This window comes from Homo sapiens, chromosome 9, assembly GCF_000001405.40.
Source record: "Homo sapiens chromosome 9, GRCh38.p14 Primary Assembly".
NCBI classification, from domain to species: domain Eukaryota; kingdom Metazoa; phylum Chordata; class Mammalia; order Primates; family Hominidae; genus Homo; species Homo sapiens.
This window is the reverse complement of record NC_000009.12, coordinates 105,188,569-105,203,090: the sequence shown is the minus strand read 5'-3', so window position 1 is coordinate 105,203,090 and position 14,522 is coordinate 105,188,569. Positions and strand designations below refer to the sequence as shown.

The following is a 14,522-nucleotide window of genomic DNA, read 5'->3' as shown; positions in this document are numbered from 1 at the left end:
TTATTTAATAGCTTTTAATAACCATTAGAGAAAAAATGTGCATATGTTTCTTCTCTTGGTTTGCATGCTCGCTGTAAAAAAAAAAAAACAAAACAAAACCCACTGAATATAATTGTATTAGAGAGAAAGGGAAAGTACACCCAAATATTACTTCCTAAACCACTGTTGATGGTATAGTTTAATATCCTTCCAGACATATTTTTCTGTGTATTTGTAAGTGCATGTAGATGACACTTATAAATAAGTATTTGGAAATGTTCTATAATTTATTTTACTTCAATATCACTATTATTAATGTTTTCCATGTCAGTGAGTAGTACTGCATCCTTTAAACATCTTATTTTTTTCTGATTACAAAAGTAAGAAATGCTTTTTCTAAAGTATTTTTTATGGTTGTGTAATATTCCATCATATAGAGATATACCATTATTTGGGTAATGGTTACCCTGTTATTTCCATTTTTGTTATTATGACCAATCCCATGAGAACCACCTTTGTAATCCCCCCTGCATTTCTGATTATTTTGTCTGGTTCAATTCTGAGTATTAGAATTTCCAAGTCAGGATTTAACAACTCTATAGTACATATTTGCTATTTGTTTCTCCATCATCATTCTATGCGTTGTAAAAACAGTAAAAACTCTCAATTATTTTTTCTTAAAAATATTTAACAAATCCCACTGTAATAATGTAAAATTTAAAATTTGAATAGAAATCATATATAATCTCTCCACCATAATAAATCAACTTTTTTTTAATATTCTCTTTTGATCCTTTTTTATGTACACGCCTATATATACCTTTAGACCAGAAGTCAACAAACTTTTTCTTTTTTTTTTTTTTTTGAGATGGAGTTTCGCTCTTATTGCCCAGGCTGGACTACAATGGCCCAATCTCGGCTCACTGCAACCTCTGCCTCCTGGATTCAAGCGATTCTCCTGCTGCAGCCTCCTGAGTAGCTGGGATTACAGGCATGTGCCACCATGCCTCGCTAACTTTGTATTTTTAGTAGAAACAGGGTTTCTCCATGTTAGTCAGGCTGGTCTCCAACTCCTAACCTCAGTTGATCCGCCCGCCTCAGCCTCCTAAAGTGCTGGGATTACAGGCGTGAGCCACCACGCCTGGCCAGACTTTTTCTTTAACAAGCAGATATTAATATTGTAGGCTTTGTGTGCCACATGGTCTCTATTAAAACTGCGCAACCCTGCCATTGTATCATGAAAGCAGCCATAGACAACATGTAAACATGAGAACGCCATAAAATTGTATTCACAAAACCAGGTGGCTGGCCTGTGTTTCTGGAGCCATTTTAGGCAATTGTTCTTTATAATCAGTTGAAACTATTTGATCATTCATAAACTGAACTAACTTTCTGAGTCTCTTTTATTTGTAACTGTAATTATTTTTTTTACTTACTGTTATTTTCCCCAGATCTTGTTAACCACACTAGATTCATAGAGCTGAAGTTCTTACACTGATTTGTTTTTAGTAAAGCAATACATTCAATGCATTTACTGATTATAAAGATACAGAATATTTCCTTACTATGGGCTTCAAGGGTGGCTTTTTTTTTTTTTTTCTTTGAGACAGTCTTGCATTATCTCCCAGGCTGGAGTGTAGTGGCACGATCTTGGCTCACTACAACCTCCACCTCCCGGTTCAAGTGATTCTCCTGCCTCAGCCTCTCGAGTAGCTGGGATTACAGGTGACTGCCACCATGCCCAGCTAATTTTTGTATTTTTAGTAGAGATGGGGTTTCACCATGTTGGCCAGGCTGGTCTCGAACTCCTGACCTCACGTGATTTGTGTGCCTCGGTCTCCTGAAGTGCTGGGATTACAGGCATGAGCCACTGCACTCAGCCAAGGATGACTTTTAAAAGAAAGATGTTTAGGCCCAGGTGCAGTGGCTCACACCTGTAATCCCAGCACTTTGGGAGGCAGAGGCGGGCAGATCACCTGAGGTCAGGAGTTCCAGACCAGCCTGGCCAACATGGTGAAACCCTGTCTCTACTGAAAATACAAAAATTAACCGGGCATGGTGGCGGTGCCTGTAATTCCAGCTACTCAGGAGGCTGAGGCAGGAGAATCGCTTGAATCCGGGAGACGGAGGTTGCAGTGAGCTGAGATTGGCCACTGCACTCCAGCCTGGGTGACAGAGCAACACCCTGTCTCAAAAAACAAAATAAATAAATTAATAAATAAAAATTAAAGAAAGATATTTAGCTGTAACTCCACCACATAGCAAAAGAGTTATGATCTTTTAATGCCTTGATCAATGAACATGCTCTTTGATGATTCTATTAAGGGAAAAGGTGATAAAACAAGAGTAATTTTGAAAAAAAGATCACCTCTATTTCCACTAAACTGATGTATTTCTAGTGCTTGTCCACCTGCAAATGTGCCTTTATATGGCTGTAATAATATGTGCCTATCCTTATATTTTTTACATTTACTGTAATGAAGACATATTTTCAGCTATTCCATAGTTTTGATCTTCTGCAGGAATTTCAAAATGCAGTTACCCTATTCAGTGTATCTTCCTCCCTATCATTCTAAAGCAGTTTAATCTAATTAAATATTTATTTGTACATTTTCACTTTTTACTATGAAAAATTTTAAACACACAGAAAAGTTGAAAGAAGAGGATAATGAACATATACATACTAACCACCTAGATTCAGCAATGAATAACCTTTTGCCAGGTTTTACATGTATACACATGCATAGTTTTTTCTCAATCATTGGCAATTAAACAGCAGACATCATGATATTTCACTCCTAAATACTTTAGCACCTAACAATAAAACTGTTTTCCTGAATAACCACAATACTATTGTCATAACTTAAAACAACAAATAATAATTCCCAAATATCACCTAACATCCAGTTCATATTCACATTTCCTCAGTTGTTTCCAAAATGATCTTGGTTCTTTTTTTTTGAGATGGAGTTTCACTCTTGTCGCCTGCCCAGGCTGGAGTGCAATGGTGTGATCTCTGCTCAGTGCAACATCTGCCTCGTGGGTTCAAGCAATTCTCCAGCATCAGTCTCCTGAGTAGCTGGGATTACAGGCACCCCCCACCAGGCCAGTCTAATTTTTGTACTTTTAGTAGAGACAGAGTTTCACCATGTTGGCCAGGCTGGTCTGGAACTCCTGACCTCAGGCGATCTGCCCACCTCAGACTCCCAGAGTGTTGGGATTATGGGCGTGAACCACTGTGCCCGGCCCCCAAAATGATTTATACAGTTGGCACCCTTGGAGCAAGGATCCAATTAAGGTTCATGCATTACATTCAGTTGTCTCTTCAATCTCTTTTAAGAGAAAACAGTTCCCTGACTTTTTTTTCCCCCTATAACATTGACTTTTGTAGAGAGCAGGACAATTGTCCTTTTTTCATAGCCTGGGTTTGTCTGATTGTTTCGTCATGGTATCATTTAAGCTATTTATTGTACACTGTAGACTAAGTATAAAAGTGAAAGAGATTGAGGTTAAACCTAAAATAATAAAAATATTTTACCATTCACTCCTATCAACTTTGACTCATTAATATTCTTCTAAGATATCTAAAATTAAAACATGTTACAGGTGGCATAGTAGACAAGATCTGCTTTCAAATCAGAGGTTTTACAGCTAGAGATCCTGGGAAAATGATTTAATTTCTTTGAGCCTCAGTCTCCGCATATGTGAAAAAGGTATGGTTGGTGCTCATAAATGTTTGCTCTCTTCCCCTAGTCTGTAGCTTCTCATGGATCGTGCAAAGCACCACCAGGACAGACATCTCAAGCACATTTGAAGAGCTCCTGTTTCCTAAGTAAGACAGCAGCAGCAAGACTGCAATCATTTCTGGGAAGGCAGTATCATCATAATGCAATATTAGCTACTGTGATCTTCTATCATTTCCTTCCTGGAGAGTTATGACTGTGGCATTGAAGATTTAAGACCTACAGCCTCAACACTACTTACTACAAATCTCTCACAAAGCTGCTGCAATAAATCTCGTGGAGGAAAGTCATTGCATAAAAAAATCCTCAACTCCAGGGAGTTGGCCATTTATTTTCCTAGAAAAGGGGCTGTGATGAGAGACACTCCATGCTCCTTTAACTCCATGGAACAGAACCCAACAAAACATTCATCATGGAAAGTTGACTGATGGGCCCAGTGAGACTAGCTGGGGAAGGAAGATGGAAAGAGAAGTGCCCCATCCAAGGCCTGCTCCTTTTCCTAGCTGCAGCCCGGAGGGATTTCCTCTTAGCTTGAGGATTGACTTTCCATAGAATCAGCACCACTGAGGGTAAGCTTCCCTGAAGACAAACTCTGTCATTGGAGAGCTCAGCCAGGGGTCTAAAACTGGACCCTATGGACTCCACAGATTTATTTAGTCTGCACAGTGTTTAAAAATGTTTTTAGTTAGGGCCAGGCATGGTGGCTCCCACCTGTAATCCCAGCACTTTGAGAGGCCGAGGTGGGTGGATCACCTAAGGTCAGGAGTTTGAGACCAGCCTGCCTGACATGGCAAAACCCAGTCTCTACTAAAAATACAAAAATTAGCTGGGCATGGTTGCTCAGGCCTGTAATCTCAGATACTTGGGAGGCTGAGGCACAAGAATCACTTGAACCTGGGAGGCGGAGGTTGCAGTGAGCCAAGATCGCACCATTGCACTCCAGCTTGGGTGACAAGAGTGAAACTCCATCTCAAAAAAAAAAAAAAAAGTTTCTAGTTAGTTCCCAACATAAAAAATTAACAATTTTGCAAAGAAAGATAAAATCCAGATTTTGGGCTCCCCTAAACAAATTGGGATATCTGAAAACAGTGGGCCACATTCCTACATTCCTGCCCCTGTTGACAGTATGCGCCTGCTCTAATTTTACTTCCCCTTTTACCCTAACTGCCCTGTAGGGAATGGAGTTTGCAATCCCCATACTAATCCATCACCCTGCAGGTCCATTCCCCTCCTCCCTGACCTCTGTTCTGATAAGGGGTGAGAGAATGAACCCCCATATGTATTGAATGGAAAATACATGTATTGGCCAGGCACAGCGGCTCACACTTGTAATCCCAGCACTTTGGGAGGCCAAGATGGGCAGATCACCTGAGGTCAGGAGTTCAAGACCAGCCTGGCCAATATGGCGAAACCGTGTTTCTACTAAAAATAATTTAAAAACAAAATTAGCCAGACATGATGGCAGGCGCCTATAATCCCAACTACTCAGGAGGCTGGGGCAGGAGAATCGTTTGAACCCAGGAGGCGGAGGCTGCAGTGAGCCAAGATCGCACCATGGCACACCAGCCTGGGCAACAAGACTGAAACTCCATCTCAAAAAAAATAAAAATAAAAATACATGTATTGATGAGAAAATACAACTGACTAATCCCACCTAAACCATGACCTCATATAAATTCAGAAGATCTTTCTAACATGGCAGGGAGGCAGCCTAGTATAAAGCAAAGAGCACATGCTTTGCGAATGTAAACCAAAAATAAAAGTTGAAGGCCCTCCTCACCATATGAATGGTCTCCTTCCTTTGCCAGGGCACCCTAAAATTTAACTGGTTGAGGCCATGATGGGTAGTAGGGGTTGGACATGCCTCATTATACCCTTCCAGCAGTAACATCAACACAGACTTTAAGTCTGATAAGAAACATTTACAGTCTATTTTCTCTAAAGCCTGCTACTTGGAGATATAAAACCTAGGTCTCCACAACCCCTATTGTAACCCAGCCATTTCTTTCTAATGATAATAAGTCTTTCAACCAATTGCCAATCAGAATATGTTTAAATCTTCCTATGACCTAGAAGCACCCCACTCTTTGAGTTGTCCCACCCTTCCAGATTGAACCAATGTAAATGGTTCAATTGATTGATGTGTTATATCTCCCTAAAGTGTATAAAAGGAAGCTGTACCTCAACCATCTTGGGCACGCGTCTTCAGGAACTCCTGAGTCTGTGTCACAGGTGTGTCCTTAACCTTGGCAAAGTAAACTTTCCATTACTTATAATGGCAAAAACTGCAATTACTTTTGCACCAACCTAATAAATGGATTGAGACTTGCCTCAGATACTTATTGGTTTATACCTAGAGGCAGACCTTGGCTCAAATCCCATCTCTCCCTTACTCTGGGATATTGTCCAACTTGCTCAGCCTCTTGAAACCTACTTTGCTTACAGCAAAATGGGTATAAGGGGATCTTTCACCCAAGCCTTTTGTGAGGACTAAATGTGGTAATGGACATTAAGTGCCAGACCCCTTGAATGTGCCATCTTCTCTCAGCTTCTATAATGTCATGCTGTCAGTTCCCTCCTTTTCTTTTTTTCTTTTCTTTTCTTTTTTTTTTTTTTTTTTGAGACGGAGTCTTGCTCTGTCCCCCAGGCTGGAGTGCAGTGGCACGATCTCGGCTCACTGCAAGCTCCGCCTCCCGGGTTCACGCCATTCTCCTGCCTCAGCCTTCCGAGTAGCTGGGACTACAGGCGTCCGTCACCGCGCCTGGCTAATTGTTTTTGTATTTTTCTTAGAGACTGGGTTTCACAGTGGTCTCGATCTCCTGACCTCGTGGTCCGCCCGCCTCGGCCTCCCAAAGTGCTGGGATTACAGGTGTGAGCCACCGCGCCCAGCCTAGTTCCCTCCTTTTCATGGCTTCTTTGCTTCATCTTTTCTGTCTCCTTTGAAGGTATGCCTTCCTGGAATATACCATAAATGTCAGTGTTCCTCAGGATTCTATCTTGACCTGACTCCCCCGACCCAACTGCTAGCTTTTCCCTCTGTCTAATGCTGGTACAGATACATAAACTGATAGGTAGATTACAACACAATTCGATTTTCTGTTTTGCTTTTTTTTTTGGCTTATTATTACATAAACTTTTTTTCATTGCTGCCATACATTCTTCAAAATAAACACTTCGGGGGGCGAGCTGGCCCAGCACTTTGGGAGGCCAAGGAGGTGGATCACTTCAGGTCAGGAGTTCGAGACCAGCCTGACCAACATGGTGAAACCCCCATCTCTACTAAAAATACAAAAATTAGCCGGGTGTTGGTGCAAGCACCTGTAATCTCAACTGCTCGGGAGGCTGAGGCATGAAAATCACTTGAACCCGCGAGGCAGAGGTTGCAGTGAGCCAATATAGTACCACTGTACTCCAGCCTGGGCAACAGAGCTGCGAGACCTTGTCTCAAACAAAACAAAACAAAACAAAATAAACACTTCATGGCTGAACAATATGCCATTTCCTGAATAGATTGTAATTTACCTAATCATTTCTCTAATAGTGGACACTTAGGTTGTTCTAATTTTGAAAGGCAGGAATACCAAGAATGTTTTCTTGCACATGGCAGATTATTTCTCAGTATAGGCTCATCCTTTCGAGTATATGGCATCTTTTCTTCTTTCCCTCCTCTCTCTCCTCAGAAGTACTCAAGGCCCCGGAGATACTTTGGCTGTATCCCCACCAATCTCATCTTGAATTGTAGCTCCCATGATTCCCATGTATCCTGAGAGGGACCCAGTGGGAGGTAATTGAATCATGGGGGCAGGTCTTTCCCGTGCTGTTCTAGAGATAGTGAATGAGTCTCACAAGATCTGATGGTTTTATAAAGGGCGGTTCCCCTACACAAGTTCTCTCTTGCCTGCCACTTTGCTCCTCATTTGCTCTCTGCCATGACTGTGAGCCCTCCCCAGCCATATGCAACTGTGAGTCAATTAAACCTCTTTTCTTAATAAATTACCCAGTCTCTGGTATGTCTGTATTAGCAGTGTGAGACAGACTAATACAGCCCTTATGTGTCCAGAAGTACTGACTTTCTTGGATGATACCTTAAGTAAAGCCTAATAAAGCTTTAGTGACTGATACATTTTTAAAAATGAAGTAATTATTTATGTGTAATGAGACAAATTATTTATTTCAGAGTGTTATTTGCCTTACTCTCTTCCCCCAGCAAAAGGAGTCCTCAAGTGGCCAGCCACATTTTCTCATTTCTCCTTTCTTCAAAAACTGATGGGATCTTGCTTGATGAAGTCACATAACAAGTGAATACAGCAAAGAGAGAGGGAAGGGGGAGGAAATAGCCGTTGGGAATGGAGTGTTGTTGGATGAGCTTTGTGAAGTGTGGGAAGAGAAAGATACTAGAGGAGACCGAGACAAATGGATAGGTGAAGAAACAGAATTTTAGTAAGTGGTGCTGTATGCTATATATGTGGATTTGCCTCAAAGTTTTAAAAAATGGCAAGCAGAAATGGAATTCTTTTTTAATAATCACCTTTGGTTATTGTATAATGTTATTTGATTATAATATAGTTTTGAGATTGATCGACATAGATCTTTGAATTAATAAAAATCACAATATATTTATGTCTGCCTTCTTCTCCAAAGGATTTGTGGCAGCTTCCAAAAATATACAGTATACTACAGTAAAAAATTAAGTAGGGAAATCTGAGCAAACAGAAAAAAACAAAGGGTAGCCAGATTACAATAAAGTAGCAAAGAGTAGCAAATTATAGTAAAGCCAGAGATAAGGTCAGCATACAAAATTTTGAGGTCCTACGCATTGTTAAAGATGGGCCACCAACTTAAAATTGAGCTTCCTAAAATGAATGCAAAGAGGTCTTATTCACAGTGTACGTAAAATAAAGTCAAATTCCTAGAACTGAGAATGAAGAGAAACTTCTCTTGCGTAATCCTCCAGAAAATACTTTGTGACAGCCTTTGACAACATGTCTATAAAAGGCTCCCAAACAAAATTTTTTTATGGTCTCTTAAAAATGATCTCCCTCCCTGTAGGTTAATGTCAAAACACCAGCCACAACAAGCAAAAGCCAAATCAATTTTCTCCGATGGTTTGACTTGATCCAAAGATAACATTTTGATGGCTCAGAGGAATGGTTGAACTACACATCCTTTAGGTAATTCTTCAAAAATATTATTTTCTGCAACTGGAACTTGGATAAAGATTAGATACTTGAAAGTTTAGTGTTTTCTCTGGTGTCAACCTGCAAGAGAAAGGTTGTGTTGTCAATAAAGGAAACAGTCAAATGCTTTGACAAGCTACTTGTCAAAAAGGTCCTAAATAAGCCATTTGGAACCAAGGAGCAACAATTTAATGTACAAATTTTCTCAAGGTGGATTTAAAAAAATGAATGCCTAGGATCTGTGACACCTAGGTGATATCTAGGTGGGGCAATATCTCTGAAAGTAGGAATAGTCATTTCGCTGTCCTGGTACAGAGTCAGAGAAAACAGCATCTAGAATAAGAAAGAGATAAGTCCCATCCATTTGAGAGAATATGTTAATTTGGAAGTAAAGGAGGAAGTGTTGGATTCAGTTAATGTATTTTAAGTGCCTGCCATGTGTTAGGCATATGGACTAGACGGTGCCATTGGTCCAGGATAGCTTGGCTGCTGAATAGAAATATACTGATAAAAGTGAGAAAGACAAAGTTGGGTTTGCTAGGGACGTGGGGGGCAACCATAACCACAGGTAAGGCTGCCAAAAGGGAAGCAGTGGGTAAACAGCTATGTGTGACAATTTGGCCCTTGGTAATTGAGTGGGTGGCTAGGGTTATCCTGAGACTGCACTACCCCCTATGGAGTAATGTCCCACCCCGGGGTCACCAGGGTAAATTAATGAAGACAAACAACAACTTTACACTAAGTATTTTGGAGAAGTTTATTGTCCATGTGAAGCCAGCTGGTGGCACAGAAGTAGGCGATGAAAAGTCTCAAGGTCAACTCAAAGTAATAAGCCGTTCCCCACATAGTTTTTATAGGTTAATTCCTTTTTCCTCACTGTAATATCTTCTTCACTCTCCACCAGATTTAGCATCCCTTTCCTGTTGTAGGTTAACAACCGTATCCTTTAAGTGGGACTATTACCAAAAGAAGCAGAAATAGGAGCATTTGCTATTTCTCTTGGAGAGCCCATTCACACATTCCTCTTCTTGCAACTGCTTGGTATCTTGAATCCCAAAGAGCCGTAGCAGTATCTGGCCTCTTCTGACATCTTAGAACCAAGCATACTATTTAAATGCACGTGAGTCTTTGCTACATTCAAGCAACTGAGCCACATAAATCTTAAATATCAAATAAAAAAGAAGGCTTTCTAACTGGTTAACGAAACTGGTTGTAAAAAATGTCTCCAACCGAGAGAGAACACAGACCTGCCTTTAGCTGCCTCTGTTCTTTAAAAGTGAAAATGCAGCATGTTAGAGAAAGTAAGAGAGTGGCAGCCTTCAAATTCTGTCTTGTAGACTGGAATAGTAAAACGAACCCCAATTCTGCTCAGGTGTCTTCCTTTAAGCCTAAGTGAAGACTGTAAGTCTATTGTAACAGCAACGGGGCCAGGCTCAGTGGCTCATGCCTGTAATCCCAGCACTTTGGGAAGCCAAGGTGGGCAGATCACTTGAGGTCAGGAGTTTGAGACCAGCCTGGCCAACATGGTGAACCCTGTCTCTACTAAAAATACAAAAATTAGCTGTGCATGGTGGCATGCACCTGTAGTCCCAGCTACTCGGGAGGCTGAGGCAGGAGAATCACTTGAACCCGGGAGGTAGAGGTGCAGTGGGCCAAGATCGCACCACTGCACTCCAGGCTCGGTGACAGAATGAGACTCCTGTCTCAAAGTAAAAAGAAAAAAATGGGAAGCAAAGGGAGGATTTTGGCTGCTTTTGCATTTTGAAGCCCTGAGAGATTCGTTTTCTTTCAGGGTACCTTGGAAAAGAGAATAGTTTAAGAGCAGCCTCAAGGGAGTCCAGACAACAGAAGAAAAGTTAAAGAGTCAGGAGAGTTTTGTTTTTTTTGTTTTTTGTTTTTTTTTTTGGAGACTTAGACAAATTTCAGTGTGCTGATGAATCCAACACAGTCCCAACTATCCTGTCATAGGAAATGAAATTTTGATCTGAAGTCAGGTTTCAGAAACACTCAGGAAAGTCTGTAAACCTAGCAAAACCCCAATTCAGCTGCTTTCTCACGCTCTTCAAAAGTACTCTGAATCCTGTCCTTTTCTTTTCCTTGACTGAAGTGGCTGTAGCACTAAAGAGTTGGCTAGCCAAGGTCATGGCTCTGGTGTAAAATGACCTAGTTTCCCAGATCACTCCTCCTGGGCAGCTAGACCCACTGTTGTCTCCTGTTTGATTGTGAAAGCATTGAACTTTCGACTTACAAAACCGCAAACTGAAAAATGGGTGTCGTTTTAAGTCACGAAATTTGTGGTAATTTTTATGTAGCAATAGAGAACAAATACAAACACCTTCCTCTTTCATTCCTCAGAAAAAAAGTTGAGAAGACCCATTACTCAGCTGTATGCACAAGGAAAAAGGGCATTCCTAGAATATGGGTGTGGATCTCTATAAAACAGGCATTTGTGAGTACAACTCCCTTTTTGAGAAAGGATCTGGGTGTCTGAATCCTCACTAATGAAACCGTGGAAATACTGATTCCAACCTAATAGAGGAGTCTCTCCTCTTTAGAGTATAGCAGATCCAACTCAACGGTTGCAGCACATTTAAAGTCCGCTAAAATGTGCAGCGAGTATTGCACACAGTAACACAACGGGACTAATAAAAGGATAAGAAAACAGAGTCTAGGCGCAGTAGCTCACGCCTGTAACCTCAGTGCTTTGGGAGGCCAAGGCGGGAGGATCACCTGAGGTCAGGGGCTCGAGACCAGCCTGACCAAGATGGTGAAACCCCGTCTCTACTAAATACAAAAAATTAGCCCAGTGTGGTGGCTCATGCCTGTAATCTCAGCTACTTGGAAGGCTGAGGCACCAGAATTGCTTGAATCTGGCAGGCAGAGGTTGCAGTGAGCTGAGACGACACCATTGCACTCCAGCCTGGGCGACAGAGTGAGACTCCATCTTTGTTGTTGTTGTTTTTTCTTTTTTTTTTTTTGAGACGGAGTCTCGCTCTGTCGCCCAGGCTGGAGTGCAGTGGTACGATCTCAGCTCACTGCAAGCTCCGCCTCCCGGGTTCATGCCATTCTCCTGCCTCAGTCTCCCCGTAGCTGGGACTACAGGCGCCCACTACCACGCCCAGCAAATTTTTTGTATTTTTAGTAGAGACGGGGTTTCACAGTGTTAGCCAGGATGGTCTCGATCTCCTGACCTTGTGATCCGCCCGCCTCGGCCTCCCAAAGTGCTGGGATTACAGGTGTGAGCCACCGCGCCCGGCCTGAGACTCCATCTTTAAAAAAAAAAAAAAGGGAAACGGGACTGCTGGGGGCAGGAGGTGGCCAAGGTGGTCGACTAGAAGCAGGTAGTGTGCGTAGCTCTCACAGAGAGGAATCAAAGGGGTGAGTAAATACAGTACCTTCATTGAAACATCCAGGTACATGCATTGGGACTAATCAAGGAAACAACTTGACCCATGGAGAATGGAGAATAGCAGGGCAGGACAGTAGCTCACTCAGGAGTGCCACAGAGCCAGGGGAGCCTCCCCCTGCCCAGGGAAGTGGTGAGAGCATATGTGACCCTGGGAACCCACCCTGTTCCCAAAGATCTTTGTAATCCTTGTGTCAGGAGATCCCCTCGTGAACCCACTCCACCAGGGCCTTCAGTCTGACACACAGAGCTACATGGAGCCTTGGCAGAGCAGCTGCTCAGGTACATGCAGAGACCCAGGAGCCTTAGATACCTGGGCTTTCTGGGCTTCCTGACAAAAGTAGCTGCAATTCCAGCAAAGTGGGAGGTTAGACCCCCCTAGGAAAGGGGCTGAATCCAGGGGGCCGAGCAGTGACATTCTGCAGGTTCCACTTCCATGACACCTCACAGGATAAGACCCACTGGCTTGGAATTCCAGCCAGCCACCAATAGCAGTGCTGCACTTCCCTGGGACAGAACTTACAGGGGAAGGGACAGGTCACCATCTTTGCTGCTTGGGCTACTTAGCTGTTCCAGTCCTGGCTTTGGCGAGTCCAGGCTGACCGGGGATGGAAGTAGTCCCCCAGCACAGCACAGCTGCTCTACGAAAATGTGGCCAGACTGCTTTTTAAAGCAGGTTCCTGTTCCCATTCCTCCTCACTGGGCAGGACCTCACAACCAGGGTCTCCAGCCACTCTCGCCAGTGTTCTTCGGCTGACAGAGATTTGAAACCTCCCTGGGATAGAGCTCCCAGAGAGGGACCGGGCCACCATCTTTGCTGCTGGGCAACTTAGCCATTCTAGCCTTTGGAGAGTCCAAGCCAACCCAGGACGGAAGCGGTCCCCCAGCATAGCACAACGGCTTTACATAAACGTGGCTCAACAATTTTTTAAGTGGGTCCCTGAACCTGTTTCTCCTCACTGGATGGGACCTCCCAGATGGGGTCACCAGCCACCTCCTACAGGTATGTTCAGGCCAGCAACAGATTCGTACCTCTCTGGCACAGAGTTCCCAGAGGGAGAGAAAGGCTGCTGTCTTTGCTGTTTTATAGCCTTCACTGTTGATACCTTCAGGTTCTAGAAAATCCAAGGTGACTAGGGAATGGAGCAGGCCCTCAGCATACTGCAGCAGCCCTACGGAAAAGTTGCCATACTTATATGGGTGTCCGTTCCCATACTTCCTTACTGGGAAGGTCCTCCAGGCCTGGGTCTCCAGCCACCCTGCCACCAGAGCTATCGAGTCAATGGAAGCTCTGCAACTCCCTGGACAGAACCCTCAGGGGCAACTGAAAGCTCTCTGCCACCACCTGTGCAATGGAACTGCCCTTACTACCCTCAGACTAACATAGGAGCAAAGACTCTAAGTGCCTTATCCACACCTCCAGCAAGCTGCAGTTAACCCAAGGAGAGGAGGTCAATCGGTGTCCCACAGGAACCCCTCCCCCACCGATCTGCTCATCACTAGACAGGGAACCCCTGTCCCACAGCATAGACTCTCCATCCTGGAGTGATTGCATTGAGCGATTGCTGACCTGCATCACTCTGGGGTGGAGCCCCCAGTAGACAAGCAAAAGACCCTTGACCACAACCATTACTAAGGTCGCTTCGTCTCCTACCTCCAAGTTGGGGAAGGAGATAATCCCAGAGCTGCAGTGGGCAGTCCAGCAGTGTCAAGCCATAATCTGCAGCCAGCACTCAAGGGGGAGAAGAACCCACAGTTTCAGAGCCACTTTCAGAACACTGAGAGGGAACATGGCTGCAACTGTGAGGAAACTTAGGGGCCATACAACTTAGCAAGAGTCTACCAACTGACCAATAAGTCTTAAGTGCCACCTGCTGGATTACACCTCAAAGCTTTCAACACAAAAAACACCTCACTAACATACCCTCCTCTGAAACCAGAGACAAAAAGCCAGCTTCAAGTAAAGACCCTGCACAAAGCTATGGCCCAGTGAAAACATCCAGAAAAGAAGTCTACTGACTGTACTCAATCTACACTGCAGTTAAAGGAAAATCCACATGATGAGATGAGAAAGAACCAATGCAAGTACTCGGTGTCACATGTCCTTCAAACAACTGTACCAGTTCTCCAACAAGAGTTCTTAACCAGGTTGAACTGGCAAGAATAACAGAAATAAAATTCAGAATATGGATAGGAACAAAGTCATTGAGATGCAGG

The 14,522-nt window shown here is 43.2% G+C and overlaps 1 long non-coding RNA gene across 1 annotated transcript in view; it reads left to right on the top strand.

Moving 5' to 3' along the window:
- Positions 1-7,843, top strand: part of LOC112268038 (uncharacterized) — a 50,346-nt gene extending 42,503 nt beyond the window's left edge. Inside the window, exon 3 of the long non-coding RNA XR_002956866.2 lies at positions 3,733-7,843. This is a non-coding gene — a long non-coding RNA (uncharacterized LOC112268038). The remainder of the gene's footprint in view (positions 1-3,732) is intronic.
- The last annotated feature ends 6,679 nt before the right edge of the window (positions 7,844-14,522 follow it).